We start from the raw sequence: 15,476 nt of genomic DNA, 5'->3' as shown, positions 1-15,476 counted from the left end.
ATTTACTATTCTAGTTGAATTTTTGAAAACCTGTATTCATTCCAAAAAAAGAAGCCCTATTGAGATATAGGTTGGAATTGCACTATATAAGTGGATTAATTCGGAAAAGAACTGATTTGTTTGCAATATTGTCGTTTCATCCATGAATATAGTATGCCACTTTATTTGTCCATGTCTATTTTTTATTTTTCTTAGAGTTTTGTAGATTTTTAGAAGCGTGTCTTAAGCTTCAGATTTATTTTTTTCAAGAAAAAATAAGTTTTTGATACTTTTGCAAAATTAGTTTCCCCTGTGATATTTTATAAGTAGTTGTAACTGGTTATTTCATTCATAATTTTTTTTACAAGAGTAAGAAAGATTTTAGAAGGAGGGGGAATCTTACTGATATTTATGAACTTTTCCTCTAACCCTAGTGCAGTAGGATTGTTCAACCAAGAATACAGTTGAATTTATCAAAGGCTTTTTTTTTGTCCTTAAAGCTCTTCACAGGATTTTTTGCTTGTTTCTATTATTAAATTATACTGATGATTTTATAATATTGAACTATCCTTGCATGTCTAAAAATAATGCTGACTCGACAGTGATATTCTTTGAATATGCAGTTGTATTAACTTGCTATAATTATTTGGATGACTTTTTGTATCTATATTTAAATTTTAATTTGTCTTCACATTTCCTTTAGGGATATTTTTGTCAGCTTTTTCTGTGGTATCAGAGTTATACTGATTTTATTAAATTAGAGAATCTTCTTTTTAAAATAACATTTTCGAAGAGTTTGGAAGATATAGGAATTAATTGCTTTCTTAAAAGTATTCAATTGATCCTAAACCATGTTGGGGAGAACTTGTTTTCTTTTTACTTCTTACATGGCCATTTGGATTTTTGAGTTTTTGAGTCAAATTATTAATAAATGATATTGAAGCAATTAGTTAAATGAACTCTTGAGTCAGTTTTAGCTATTTATAATTTCCAGCAAAATTTTCCCGTTAGTCATAATTTAAAAATTGATTGACATAGCCTCTAAAGTATCTTGTACCATTTAAAATATTTCAGAAGTTGTAAATTAAAAACAATATTGAAATTTCACTTTACAAGGGTTTTAAGGTACGAACAAAGGCAGAGCAAAGGTGTCAACTCCATCTGCTACCAACAGATGGCGATACAGTCACTTTATGTTACTTTAGATTTAAGAACAAATGGACTGAAAACCTTCCAGAACCTGATTTCTTTAGACCTTTTACCATTCCTAACATTATGTGATTGCCTTGCTTCTCTCTTCCCTCCCTCCTTCCTTCCTCCTTCTCTTCCTCCCTTTCTTCCTCCTTTTCGTCCTCCCTCTTTTTCTCTTTCCCTGTCTTCCTTTCTCTTGTGTAGACTTGGAATGCATTAGTCTTTTCAAAAAATTAGAGATTGGATTTGTTTTTTGATTTATATTTGTTAATTCCTGATTTTTAAATTTCATATCCTTTTCCAGCTTTTTAAAAAGTTAAGTGCTTAGTTTATTTTCCATATTATTTAATAATGAAAGCATTTAACTCCGTAAATAACTCACTGATTAACACCTTGACTGTATTCCATTGGTTTTGATATAATCTGTTTTCACTGTAATTAATGTCTAAATAAGGTCATTGCAATTTTGTTATCTTCTTATACATAATTACGTAGGACAGAATTTGTTTTATATTCCATGAAGGGAGGTCTTTAATATCTAACTCCCTATAGTTATGAAGTTGTATAAGGTAGCAAAGTTGTTGTAACATGAAAGGTTTACTGATGAATTAATTACTTATAAAATTGCTCTTATCTTCAATGTTTCTTGACCAGTAAGACCAGGGCTTATACCTGTTAATCTGGTCATATTTCTTTGTCTAGTAACCGCTAGTTGATTTATGCATATTTTTCTGACAAAACATAGCAGACACATTAGATTTGATTAAAAAGAGATCCTGTAGAATTTTATGAAGTTGATGAAAGTGATGTTGGAGAACTGCTGGAATCACTCAAATTTCTTTGATAAATTAGGATCTGGCAGAATGCAGCTAAAAGAGAAAAATCTACAAAGATGATGACATGGTAGCTTCAGAGAAGAAATATCTAAATAGAAAATCATTAAAAGGACCTTTGGGAAACTGATAAAGGCTTTGATATTTCTTAAGAAAAATTACTCTTGATTATTCAAATACGAAGGATGGCTGTATCCTGAGCTCCTAAATTTTGTCAGAACAAATATGCCAAAAATCAATGTTTAATTTTTCCCAGCACTTTGGGAGGCCGAGGTGGGCAGATTACTTGAGGTCAAGAGTTTAAGACCAGCCTGGCCAATATGGTGAAACCCCATCTCTACTAAAAACACACACACACACACACACACAAAAGTTAGCCAGGCTTGGTGGTAAGCACCTGTAATCCCAGCTACTCAGGAGGCTGAGGCAGGAGAATTGGCTTGAACCCAAGAGGCGGAGGTTGCAGTGAGCCGAGGTCACGCCACTGCGCTCCAGCCTAGGTGACAAGAGTGAGACTTGGTCTCAAAAAATAAATAAATAAATAAAATGTTTGTTCTTTAATTTTATTATATATGCAATAAAATAGACTCCCTGTGATAATTTTTTGTTTGAATTTTCAAGGTAAAGTTCCACTCCAACTTTTTTTTCACATTATAAAATTTTGAACTTCCTTATAAGGGGATTTGCTTTGAAAGGATTATTCTCAGAATCTATTATCCTCAGGCAATGCCTGTAATTTATTTATAGTATTATTGCACTTTATTATGTGTTCTGTGTCAGTGGTCCACAACCTTTTTGGCACCAGGGACCAGTTTCATGGAAGACAGTTTTTTCATGGACGGGTGGGAGGAAGGGATGGTGTTGGGATGATTCAAGAGCATTACATTTATTGTGTACTTTATTTCTGTTATTACATTGTAATATATAATGAAGTAATTATACAACTCGCCATAATATAGAATCAGTGGGAACCCTGAGGTTGTTTTCCTGCAACTAGACAGTCCCATTTGCTGGTGTTGGGAGACAGTGACAGATCATCAGGCATTAGATTCTCATAAGGAGCACGCAACCTAGATCCCTCAAATGTGCAGTTTACAATAGGATTCGCCACTATGTTGCCCAGGCTGGTCTCAAACTGTTGGCCTCAAGTGATCCTCCCACCTTGGCCTCCCAAAATGTTGGGATTGTAGGCATGACCACTGCACCCAGCCCAAAATTCTTTGTAGTTTTTGTTTTTAAAATTAAACTTTCAAACTTTTAATATTCTAGATTATATATATATATATATATATATATATATATATATATATATAGTCTAATTGACCTGCCTAAAACAGAAATGGTATGTTTGAGTTTTTCCAAATTACAGTTTTTGTCAGTTTTTCTTTGTATTGCTAACATTAAAAAATGTATTTAAATGGAATATTCTGAGGAATAGAACAACCCAAAAAAGTTATTTATCTTACTTTAACTTTTAGTAGCAGTTAGCATTAGATGTTTTACATGATTTTTTTTGAAAAGCTGTGAGCATTGATAAGTATTTGCTGAATAGTGCGTCGTATCCTTATTTTGAATTATGACTCTTATTCTTGTAAAATGTCCCCCTTTGTTCCATTTAGTGTTTTTGTCTAGATTTTTTTTAATCTAATATTCATTTTACATTTGTACCATGTCTCTTACATTTCTTGTTTTTTAAACATGTTATAATCACTTTTGTATTTGTATTTTGTGAAAAACATGTTGTTTCTGACCCATCATAATTTGGGGGCCTAATTTAAGAATCTTTGCCTCTCTCTGGGCATTTATCCCATTCACCTTGGTCCTTATGATAGATATTGCCCCTGCTATCTTAACTCATGTTTTTTGTTAACTTCTTGCTGTCTCCTTTATTTTCTACCTTAAGCTGTGTAGAGTATAATGACTTAACTGTTATATTTGTCGGTGTTTTAGAGGCTAATATAGCACGTAAGTTCTAGTAATGAATTATCTTTGGTGTTTTAAATTTGTTTCTAAGATCAGGAGCAAAGCAGTTATGTTTGGGCTCCCAATGCTCTGTCTTCTATGTGAGAGAAAGTATTTAGTATAATTCACTTCCTCCTTCTTCACAGATCTTGGTACCAAATTATTATTACATCGTTACTTTCCCCTTTCCATTTTAAAACTAGACTTAGGCCAGGCACAGTGGCGGGCACCTGTAATCCCTGCTACTCGGGAGGCTGAGGCAGGAGAATTGCTTGAACCTGGAAGGTGGAGATTGCAGTGAGCTGAGATCGTGCCACTGCACTCCAGCCTAGATGACAGAGTGAGACTGTCTCATGCTAACAAACAAACAGAAAACTAGATTTAAAATGACTGAAGTATTTTTACCAGTTTCAGTATTTATTGCCGACCCATTCCTAAGATTTAAATTTTGATTAGATCATACAATCAGGCAGGTTCTTTTTCAAGAAGGGCACATGAAAAGTATATTTTCTGAGTTCTTGTTAATATGAGAATGTTATTGTGTTGTCTATACATGTAAATGACTACTTTCTTTGTATAAAATGGTTACAGGTTTAAACTGTTAAAACTTTAGCTCACCACTTTCTTTATGATATCTTCAGATTTTGCTTTTGTTGTATTTTTTCTCTTTAGTCATAATTTTTATCTTATCTTTGTTCTCTAATCTCCATTTTCCATAATTATCATACCTTCCTTCTTCATCTTAAAATCTTTGTCTTTTTATGCTAAATTCTGAGGGGCAAGGGGAAAGGGAGTATTCTGAAGTTTACTGTCCACGTCATGTACTGTCAATTGTCTACAATGTTGGTTTTTTTGTTTTTTTTTTTTTGAGACAGGGTCTCACTCTGTCTCCCAAGCCAGAGTGCAGTGGCACAATTTCAGCTCACTGCAACCTCTGTCTCCCAGATTAAAGTGATTCTTCTGCCTCAGCCTCCTGAGTAGCTGGGGTTACAGGTATGCACCACCATGCCTGGCTAGTTTTTTTGTTTTTAGTAGAGACGGGGTTTCACCATGTTTGCCAGGCTGGTCTTGAATTTCTGGCCTCAAGCAATCTGCCTGTCTTGGCCTCCCAAAGTGCTGGGATTACAGGTGTAAACCACCACGCCCAGCCTTACAATGTTGATTTTAATTTTACTACAGCATTTAAAGTTTCCTTGAAATCTTTTCTGTCATTCACATTAAAAAAAAAATCTTTCTGTTGCCTATTCATCTCAATCTTATGACTCTCTAGTATTAGAAAAGCTTATTATTTTTTGTTCTTTTTTGAGAATCTCAGCTAGGTTTTGAAATTTTTCTTCTAGATTTTGGAGTAGCTTATCTTTAGAGGTAGGCTGTTCCTGACTTTCTTATTATTTAGTAGGTGTGTCTTTTCTCAGATTAAATTCCTTATTTTCCCACTTACCTTGTGCTAAAGAATATTGAAATTACAGCTTTGTAGATAATTATACATTCAGAAAAGTGTAATAATTCACTCTTAAGAGAAAAATATTCTTCTTCTTAATATGTATTTTTAGCTATACTGTTAATTTAGATCAATAAAATAAACTTTTTTCCAGAGATAACTTGGCCTTTAATGGTCTTCCACCTATTCTGAAGAGTCAATTTATGAAAATGCTTTTATTGTTTTTTTGTTGTTGTTTAAGAACCTTGGTTTAAAAACAATGTTATTTCTTAGAATATTTTTTGATTTACAGAACATTTGCAAAGGTAATAGAGAGAGATCCATATATTGCTCAGTTTTCCCTATTATTAATACAATACATTAATAGGGCACATTTGTCATAATTGGTGACCAACATTGATACATTATCATTAACTAAAGTCTGTATTTTCTTCAGATTACCTTAATTTTTATCAATATTCTTTTTTCTGTCCCAGGATCCCATCCAGGATCCCACATTACATTTGATTGACATGTCTCCTTATATTCCTCTTAGTTGTGACAGTTTCTCCGACTTCCCTTGTTTTTGATACCCTTGACAGTTCCGAGGAGTACTGGTTGTATATTTTGCAGAATGCCCTTTGGCTGAGATTTGTCTGATGTTTTCCTCATGATTTGACTGGGATTATGGGTTTTTGAGAGAAATATCATTTTTATCATGTCATAACAAGGGTACATGCTGTTCACATGATTTGTCACTGTTGCTGTTGGTGTTGATCACCTGGCTAAGGTAGTGTTTGTCAGGTTTCTCTAAAGTAAGGTTATCACTGCTTACCCCCTCACCCTTTCCATACTGTACTCGTTGGAAGGAAGTCACTATGTGCATCCCATTCTTAAGGAGTGGGAATTTATGCTCAATCTCCTTGAGGCGGGAGCATCTATATACATTACTTGGAATTCTCCTGCACAGGAAAATGGTCTATTCTCAACCATTTTCTTATTTAGTTATTTCACTATTGAATCATAAATATTTATTTTATACTTTGAATTTAATCCAATACTACTTCATTTATTTTGACTCAAATTGTCCCAGCTTCGGCCACTGGCAGCATTTTCAGTTGGCTCCTTTGACATGCCCCCATCGCTGTGGGTTTATTTATTTTTGAGCACTTCCTTATTTTCTGGAATCATAAGATGTTCCAGGCTCATCTTGGATATTTCCCATCCTAGTCCTGGAATCAGCCATTCCTCTAAAGCAAAAACACTCTGGTTCTTTTTACTGGAGAACAGTATTAGAAATCCGGATCTGGGCAGTGGGTTTCCTCAATGCTACTGGGGTGTTGTTACTTCTAGACCCTCTCAGTTGACAGAATAAGGAAATGTGTATATACCTACCTGCATATATATACATATTTTTATACATAACTATCTGTATCTATATTAAGTGGAATATGTTCACACTGACATCTCCAGCTCCAGTCCATTACCACATGGATTGTTCTAGCCTCCTCCCATCACTTCTCTGTAGACTGCTTTTCCAGAATCTTGCTTTTAAAACACATTTCCGGCCAGGGGCGGTGGTTCACTCCTGTAATCCCAGCATTTTGGGAGGCTGAGGCGGGCGGGTCACGAGGTCAGGAGTTCGAGACCAGCTTGACCAACATGGTAAAACCCTCTCTCTACTAAAAATACAACAATTAGCCAGGCATGGAGGAGTGTGCCTATAATCTCAGCTACTCGGGAGACTGAGGCAGGAGAATAGCTTGAACCCAGGAGGCGGAGGTTGGAGTGAGCCAAGATCACACCACTGCACTCCAGCCTCGGGGACAGAGTGAGACTTCGTCTCAAAACAAAAACAAAAACAAAAACAACCAAATGCTTAGCATGTCAGGGTGGAATAAGACAGATCAAGACTCTGTCTAGAAAAAAAAATTAAAAAACATTGTTTTTATATGTTTAAATAACATTATGTTCGAATGCTATAAATATATCTATGTTTTAAGTGTGTATGTATTAAAGGTTCGTTGCAGAACATTTGGAAAATTCAACAATGTCTAGGGTAGAAAACCCAAATCTCTTTCTAGACTCAATCACTGCTAACATCTTTACACATATGCACACAATTCTATAAATAAAACTGTGGTGATACTAGACATACTGCTTTGTAATCTGCTATTTCTACTCAACAAGATATAAGGAACTTTACCACCATGTCATTAACTATTTTTCTTAAAGGTCATGATTTTAATTGCCTGCAGAATATTAACCTTTAGTTTTGAACACTTGAGTTTTGATGTTTTTTGGTATTAAAAATAACTATAATAAATACTTTAAAACATAAGTCATTATGCACATATCTGATATTTTTAGTTAGACTATTTTGTGGAAGTTAAGTTACTGGGCCCTAGAGTAGGAATATTTCAAGGAGTATGATAAACAATTCCAAATTTCCTTTCAGAAAAGAAAGCAGTAATTTAGCTTCCTTCCAAAATTGTATATGAGCCATTTTCTCTACATCCTTAGCAACACTATATATTGAAATAATTTTTAAAAATAATTGATTAAAATGACATTTCAGTGTTGTTTTATACTGAATTTCTTTTATTACAAGTGTGTTTGAATAGCCTATTTCGTAAGTTCATTGCCCATGTGTATTTCATTTCTATATTTCCTGTTAATGCTGTTTTCAGTTTTTTTCTGAGAGTATTTTAAAAATTATTTCAAAATAGCACTTTAATTTCAAAATAAGTGTGTACTCAATAGAGAAACTTTAAAAAAACACAGAAAAAGACAAAGGAAATGTAATTACTTATGATTCCGTTACCCATTCTTACTTGATTGCTGTCATTTTCACTTTGATGTGTGCTGAGGTCTGAATGTTTGTTTCCCCTCTGCAAATTTTTACATTGAACCCTAAGCACCAGTGTGATGGTTTTAAGAGAGGCACCTTTGGGAGATGATTAGGTCACCAGGGTAGAGCCCTCATGAATGGGATGAGTGCGCTTATAAAGGAGGCCCCCCAGAGAGCTGTCTTGCCTCTCCATCATTCCAGGATGCAGAGAGAAGGTGTCATCTGTGAACCAGAAAATGAGCCCTCCCCAGTACAATCTGCCTTGATCTTGGACTTCCCAGCCTCCCGAACTTTGAGAAATAAATGATGTTGTTTACAGTTTACCCAGTCTATGGTATTTTGTTATAGCTGCCCAAATGGACTAAGACAATGTGTCTATTTAATTCCAGAAATTATATTTTATAAATGGTTAATTGGGAAAATGAGTCTCTAAAATGGTTATAAAAAGGTCAGTCTGCCTTGATCTTGGACTTCCCAGCCTCCAGAACATTGAGAAATAAATTGTGTTTTTTACAGTTTACCCAGTCTATGGTATTTTGTTATAGCTGCCCAAATGGACTAAGAAAATGTATCTGTTTATATTCCAGAAATTATTTTATATTTTATAAATGGTTAATTAGGAAAATGGTGTACCAGACTCCTTGTTTTGTAGCCTGTTTATCGATCACTCAATCATTATTATTTCCCCAGTTAATACAATAGTCTTTTCCTACTTTGAAGGAAGGTGCTCTTGAGAACGCGTATCTACGCATCTTTTCTGTGGCCTGCCTTCATCAGGATATCTGACTGCATTCAACAGGACCCAAGTCTGAACCATCTCCTAATTCCATGGCACCATTCTCTGTCCATGAGGATTTCTCTACAGGATCAGCCTCCTGGAATTGCCAGCCATAGTGTTCCCTTGAGTTGCTGTCACTGCCAGTCTCAGCCTTGGGGACAGTGGGTAGGAGGCATGGTCACTCTCAGCTTTATTACCACATTCCAAGCACATACACAGCTGTCTCTGAATTTTCCACAGCACAACTGAGATATGACTGTAACATTTCACAGAACTTGTCTAAAGTTCTTGACATAAAACAAGAAAAACTGAACACAGAGAAAATTAAAACCAGTAACTGGGTTATTCTCTGAGTCCACAGGTTCAAGTGCCTCTGTCTGAGTCCCCAGCCAGCACTTCCAGGGCCACTTCCTAGATGGGATGACCCTGGTACAGTCTGCTCACCCTCATTTATTTGCTGGTGGCTTCCTCTGATGCCCTTTTCCGTGGTGGAGCTTCAGGTTCCCGCCCCTCTGCAAATTCTCACTTGTCATCCCCAGATTGGTTCCCACCAGGATGATTGACAGTTGCAGAGGCCACACTTCTCAGAAATAAAAATAAGCCTAACGCCCTGCCCACAGTGTTCTTTTGGACACTCTCTCCGAACAGATTGTAACGATCAGGCACCCGTACGTTTTCTTCAGTCAAATTACTCAGCATAAAATTGAAGTCCCCCTATAGGCTAGCAGAAACTCAAAAAGACACAGGCATAAAGCTAATTATTGCAGTACTATTTGTAATTGTAAAAGGCTGTCCATCAACAGGGGACTGGTTGAATAAACTATGATACAGCCACATCATGGGGTATTATGCAGCTGTTGGAAGGAAGAGTAATTCTGAATAATGTTAAGGATGATCTCTAGAATATACTACTTACTGAAAAAAGCAAGGTAGAGAAAACTGCATAGCATGCCAACTTTTTTCTAAGAAAAGGGGGTATATACATGTATGTGCTTATTGGTTTATATTAAAAATTCAGTAAAAAACCATGAAATAGAATGGTTACCTACAAGGGGAGTGAAGGAAGCTAGACTTCTCTAACTATACCTTGTTTGTCGATTTAATTTTGGAATCATGTAAATGTTTCACACAATTAAAAAATTAACAGTTAAAATGTAATCCCTAAAAATCAAAATGAAAACAAGTGAATCTAAGCACATAGTGAGTTGGTGATGCAACCAAGCATGAAGTTGTTTCAAGGGACTTTAAAACAGTCATTTGACTGGACATCTTTTGTGGGATATACTCTAAGTTCCAAAAGAACTACAAAACATTTTGGGCTTTGTCCACTGGAAACAACTAGAAACAATGATCAACCCATAGCCACAACCTGGTGTTCGCTTCATGGTATCTTAATATTTCTCAGTACAAGGAACCAGGAATCATTGGTGAAATGTTAGACCCTAAGTCTGGTGGAGGAAATGGTCAAGATGAGTCTGAGTATCTTATACTAGAAAGCAAGGATGCTATCAAAGGCTCAGGAGCTCCTGCTACCCAAAGCAGGAGCAATTTGGGCAATAAGAAGAGGAATATCCATGTCCCTGCAAAAGACATGATCTTGTTCCTTTTTATGGCTGCATAGTATTCCATAATGTGTATGTACCATATTTTCTTTACGCAGTCTATCATTGATGGGCATTTGGGTTGATTCCATGTCTTTGCTATTGTGAATAGTGCTGCAATGAACATATGCGTGCATGTGTATTTACAATAGAATGATTTATATTCCTTTGGGTATATACTACCCAGTAATGGGATTGCTGGGTCAAATGGTATTTCTGGTTCTAAATCTTTGAGGAATTGCCACACTGTCTTCCACGGTGGTTGAAATAATTTATATTCCCACTCCTCAGCAAACTAATGCAGGAACAGAAAGCCAAACACTTCATGTTCTCACTTGTAAGTGGGAGCTGAATAATGAGAACACATGCACACAGGGAGGGGAACAAGATGCACTGAGGCCTGTTGGGGGAGGCCGGGGGTGGGGAGAGATCAACAGGAAAAGTAGCTAATGCATGCTGGGCTTAATACGTAGGTGATGGGTTGATAGGGGCGGCAAACCACCATGGCACACACTTACCTATGTAACAAACCTGCACATCCTGCACATGTACCCCGGAACTTAAAAAAAAAAAAAAAGAGGAACAATGGCAATGTAGTGAAACATTAAACGTGCTAAAGTTCATGAGTTCACAATTACACTAAAACAAATCCCTCACGATCCTTTGGAGGATGGTAGAGAACCAACTCGTTTGGAGAACTGATAAAGGAAAAGAATAAAGCATTTGGCCAGCCTTCTCTGCACAAGTGTACCCCAGAGAAATGATAGTTGATCAGGGGAGATTTCATAGATGTATCCAGCTAGTAAATAGCGAAGAAATAATAGATGATCACGATTTTGCAACTTGTATTAAAATAGTGAATCTAGGCAAGGATCATCAGTGACTGCAAAGATTACAAAAAGGAAGGCAAGCAAACATTATATGCCTTGTGATGAAAGCACACACCATCAGCTGTAAAGTCCACTTGCCCCCGAAACAAACACAAATCTGATCAAGCCTCTAAATCTAGCTACCAGTATATAGGAAATACTCCGTAGAGAAGAACATGCTAAATGACATCACTGACAAATAATCTAGCTTCTTTAACAAATAAATTGCAAGAAAAAGTTGGCTGGGATGAGGTACCTAAAGGTTAACAAAGGTTTAAGAAACATTGAAAACAAATATTATGAATAGATGTGTAGATTCCGATTTGTATAAACCAACTGTCAAAAAGCATGAGACAACAAAAAGTATTTATGAGAAATGTGGACACCAACTGAATACTTGATAATATTAAGGAATTAGTGTGAATTTAGGTGTAATGATGGAGTCGTGGTTACATTTAAGAGAACAATTCTTATTTAGAGATACATATTGACACTTTCAGATGAGATGATATAATGTCTAGGACTTGCTTCAAAGTAATCTAGTGTGTGTAGTGAGGGAATAGGATAGTAGAGATGAAATAAGAATGGCTTTGAGCTGGTGGATCTTGTAGCTGGGTAACAAGTACATGCACACTCCTTGTATTATTTGCTCTACTTTTGCATAGGTTTGGAATTTTTCATTGTAAAAAGAAGGTAAAATACTTAAAAAAGGAGGAGAAAGAAGAAAAAACCTCCCCCATAGGACTTCACCAATACCCTTTAATTATGTTCCGTTAAGATTCTTCCTAATGCTTGTGGTGAAGAATGATGCTTTCATTTCCTGTGTGTTCCTGGGCTCCTCTGGTTGAGGACACTTCTTGAACGAGAACATGCACCCTCACCTCCCAAGATGTAGGAACAATGCGTTCTATTTAAAAAAGAAACATTTTCATATCATCTGCAAAGATGCAACTTTACCCATAACACAGACAGCCTTTTTTGTGATTCTTTAGACCTGCAGTTCTCAAAGAGTGGTCCAGGCAAACTTGGGGCTGTTGAAGCAATTTCAGGAATCCGTATGGTCAAAACTGTTTTCATAGTAATACCAAGACTTTTTGCCTTTTTCATGCCCATTCTCTCACAGTGTATAGAGGAGTTCTCTAGAAGCTCTGCAACTCTAGATAACTTTATTGCATTTACAGTCAATGGAATGTGTGCTTGTGTGTTATTTTTATGTATGTGTATTCATGTATTTTTTCAGTTTAATTGTTAGTAGCTTGAATATCCATAGATATAACCCAAATAAATACAAGCTCTTCAAAGTTTGTAATCATATTTAAGAGTGTCAGTGGATCCGGAGACCAAAAAGTTGAGAAACTCTAATACAGACAGCAGCTAGGCACTCGATGGGCACATACGCATTTCACAATAATGTCATTGATTTACTGTGCACAAAGAAAAACTGCATTTTGGTCTTCCTAGACAAAGGAGCGTTGAGCTCACAAACTTAAATCTAAGCTCTTTCTTCTTATAACACAAACAACTAAAAGTTGATATTGCTTGCTTCCTACCTTCCATCCACTTCTCACCCCACGGTTTCAAAGTCTATTGTCTTGACTATTGCTTAGTCAAGGCTCAAGGCCAACAACTTGAGTATTTTTTCTCTTTCATGTTGGCTATGTGCAAGAAAGAACTCTTCTCAAGCATGTAGCCAACAGAGAGTCTGGGCCTACTTAAGGCAACAGAAGCTCTACCTGTCTTTTCCACAGGATGTCCCAGGGGTCATGAAATTTTCTTCTTACATTATAAAATGAAGCCAATGTTTCTTACCTTGTTGAAATGATAAAATGATGCAACATGCATGAAATCATTAAGTTCTGCCTACAATGCCTAGAAGGAATGGCAAATTCATTTCATTACCAGAAACTGCTGGAGTCCATAAATAGTGCAACCCATTTCTTTCCTTTTCCTTTTATTTATGGTCAAAGGTAATCTCAGTTGGGTTTCTGGGAGGTCTGTCCTTTTTGCTCTCCCTCCCTTGTTTCTCAGTCCCTCTCCCAACCCCAGTATCCATGGTCTTTTCCATCCCTCAGTCCTTATCCCAAATTCACTCTCTATCTTTGAGGTCTTCAAAGTTCTGAACATTAATCCTGACTCCATCCTAGGGATGGGGGTGGGGGGTGGGACAGCAGCAGGTCCTTACAGTGTAAGTGGGGGAGGCAAGAAAGAGCCAAGGGAAACAAAAGATGGCCACATTTGGAAAGCAGGTGGCCCAGGCAGATGCTTATGAGTGGTAGCTGCCATTACTGATAGCACCATTTCAAGAGTCCTTCTCATTGCTGTTGTGGCCCTACTCTAACAATCTTTGTTCTAATCCATTGACTGACAGTTTTGTTTGTAGTCACCTCCACCCCAAACCCCATGTCATTACATCCCTCCTTATGAAGGCTAAGCTAGATTGGTAACCATCATTCCATCATTTATAATAACTTTCTTACAAACACTCTTAACTCTGTTACCCATCTCTCCTTCTATTGACCTCATATGGCAAATCCCACCGTTGGTTAAATCCAACACCCCAACGCCTTCAGCCTGACCCTGAACAGCTGATTGTGAATGGATAAATTACAAGCATGCTGACTGCTCTGACTAGCCTAACTTTAACTTATGACCACAAATATCCAGTGGGCCTTCAGCATCTTCCAGCAATGCCATTATATTTTCCTAGTTAACCCACTCTTCTCTTGAACTGACTTTTCATATCTTTTAATCTGTCCTGAAACATCTAACACTAGAAAAACCATTCACATGTTATCTAAATGTGGATACCTTTGGGAGTGAAAGAGGTTCTATCAACAGTTTTTTTGTGTGTGTCGGGGTAGGGGGATACAACAGTCAAATCAATATTGTTTCAGGCAAATCACATACCCCTATCTGATACATTCTCTTTTTTCCTCACTTTCATCTGATGACTGCATGGCTTATTTTATGGAGAATACAGAAATAATGAAAGAGAGCTCCAATCTGTCAGGCCACTTTATCTGCAGCCATGCTTGTTCTTCCAATGGATGGTGTTTGAGTTTCCTGCAGTTGTTGTAATAAATTACCAAAACGTGGTGGCTTAAACTAATAAAAATTTATCCTCTCATAGTTTTGGAGGCTAGAAATCTGAAATCAAGGTGTTGGCAGGGCTCCGGGGAAGAATCCTTCCTTGCCCCTTGCTAGCTTCTGGTGGTAGCTGGCAATCCTTGGCATTTCTTGTTTGGCAGATGCATCACTTCAGTCTCTGTGTCCATCTTCACATGGCCTTCTCTCTGTCTGCCTCTGCCTCTGTTTTCTCTTCTTATATGGACACTGGTTACTGGATGAGGGTCTAGCCCTAATGACCTCATCTTAACTAATTACATCTGCGAATAAGGTCATGTTCTGAAGTTCTGGGTGGACATGAATTTTGCGGGGACAGAATTCAACCTAATACAGATTGACTCTGTGCTCCTAAATCTAGTTCCTCCACTTTGGACTTCTACATCCCCTCTCTGTTGGCATTTTCAAAGACTCTGTTCCTGTAATTCTCTCCTCTTTTCATTGCACAACCATTTTCCCATATTTATTGCATGCCTATCATTTTACAAACATACTGCAATAACTACTTCTTTTTTTTTTTGAGTCTCGCTGTGTCACCCAGGCTGGAGTGCAGTGGCACAATCTTGGCTCACTGCAAGCTCTGCCTCTCGGGTTCACTCCATTCTCCTGCCTCAGCCTCCCGAGTAGCTGGGACTACAGGCGCCCACCACCACGCCCGGCTAATTTTTTGTATTTTTAGTAGAAACGGGTTTTCACTGTGTTAGCCAGGATGGTCTCGATCTCTTGACCTCGTGATCCTCCCACCTCGGCCTCCCAAAGTGCTAGGATTACAGGCATGAGCCGCCGCGCCCTGCCAATAGCTTCTATATTAAAAACTATTCCTGCGTCCGGCGCCCCCCTCAACCTACTGACCCACTTCTCTGCTTCTT

This window comes from Homo sapiens, chromosome 16, assembly GCF_000001405.40.
Source record: "Homo sapiens chromosome 16, GRCh38.p14 Primary Assembly".
Taxonomy (NCBI): domain Eukaryota; kingdom Metazoa; phylum Chordata; class Mammalia; order Primates; family Hominidae; genus Homo; species Homo sapiens.
Note: the sequence above shows the minus strand (reverse complement) of the source record.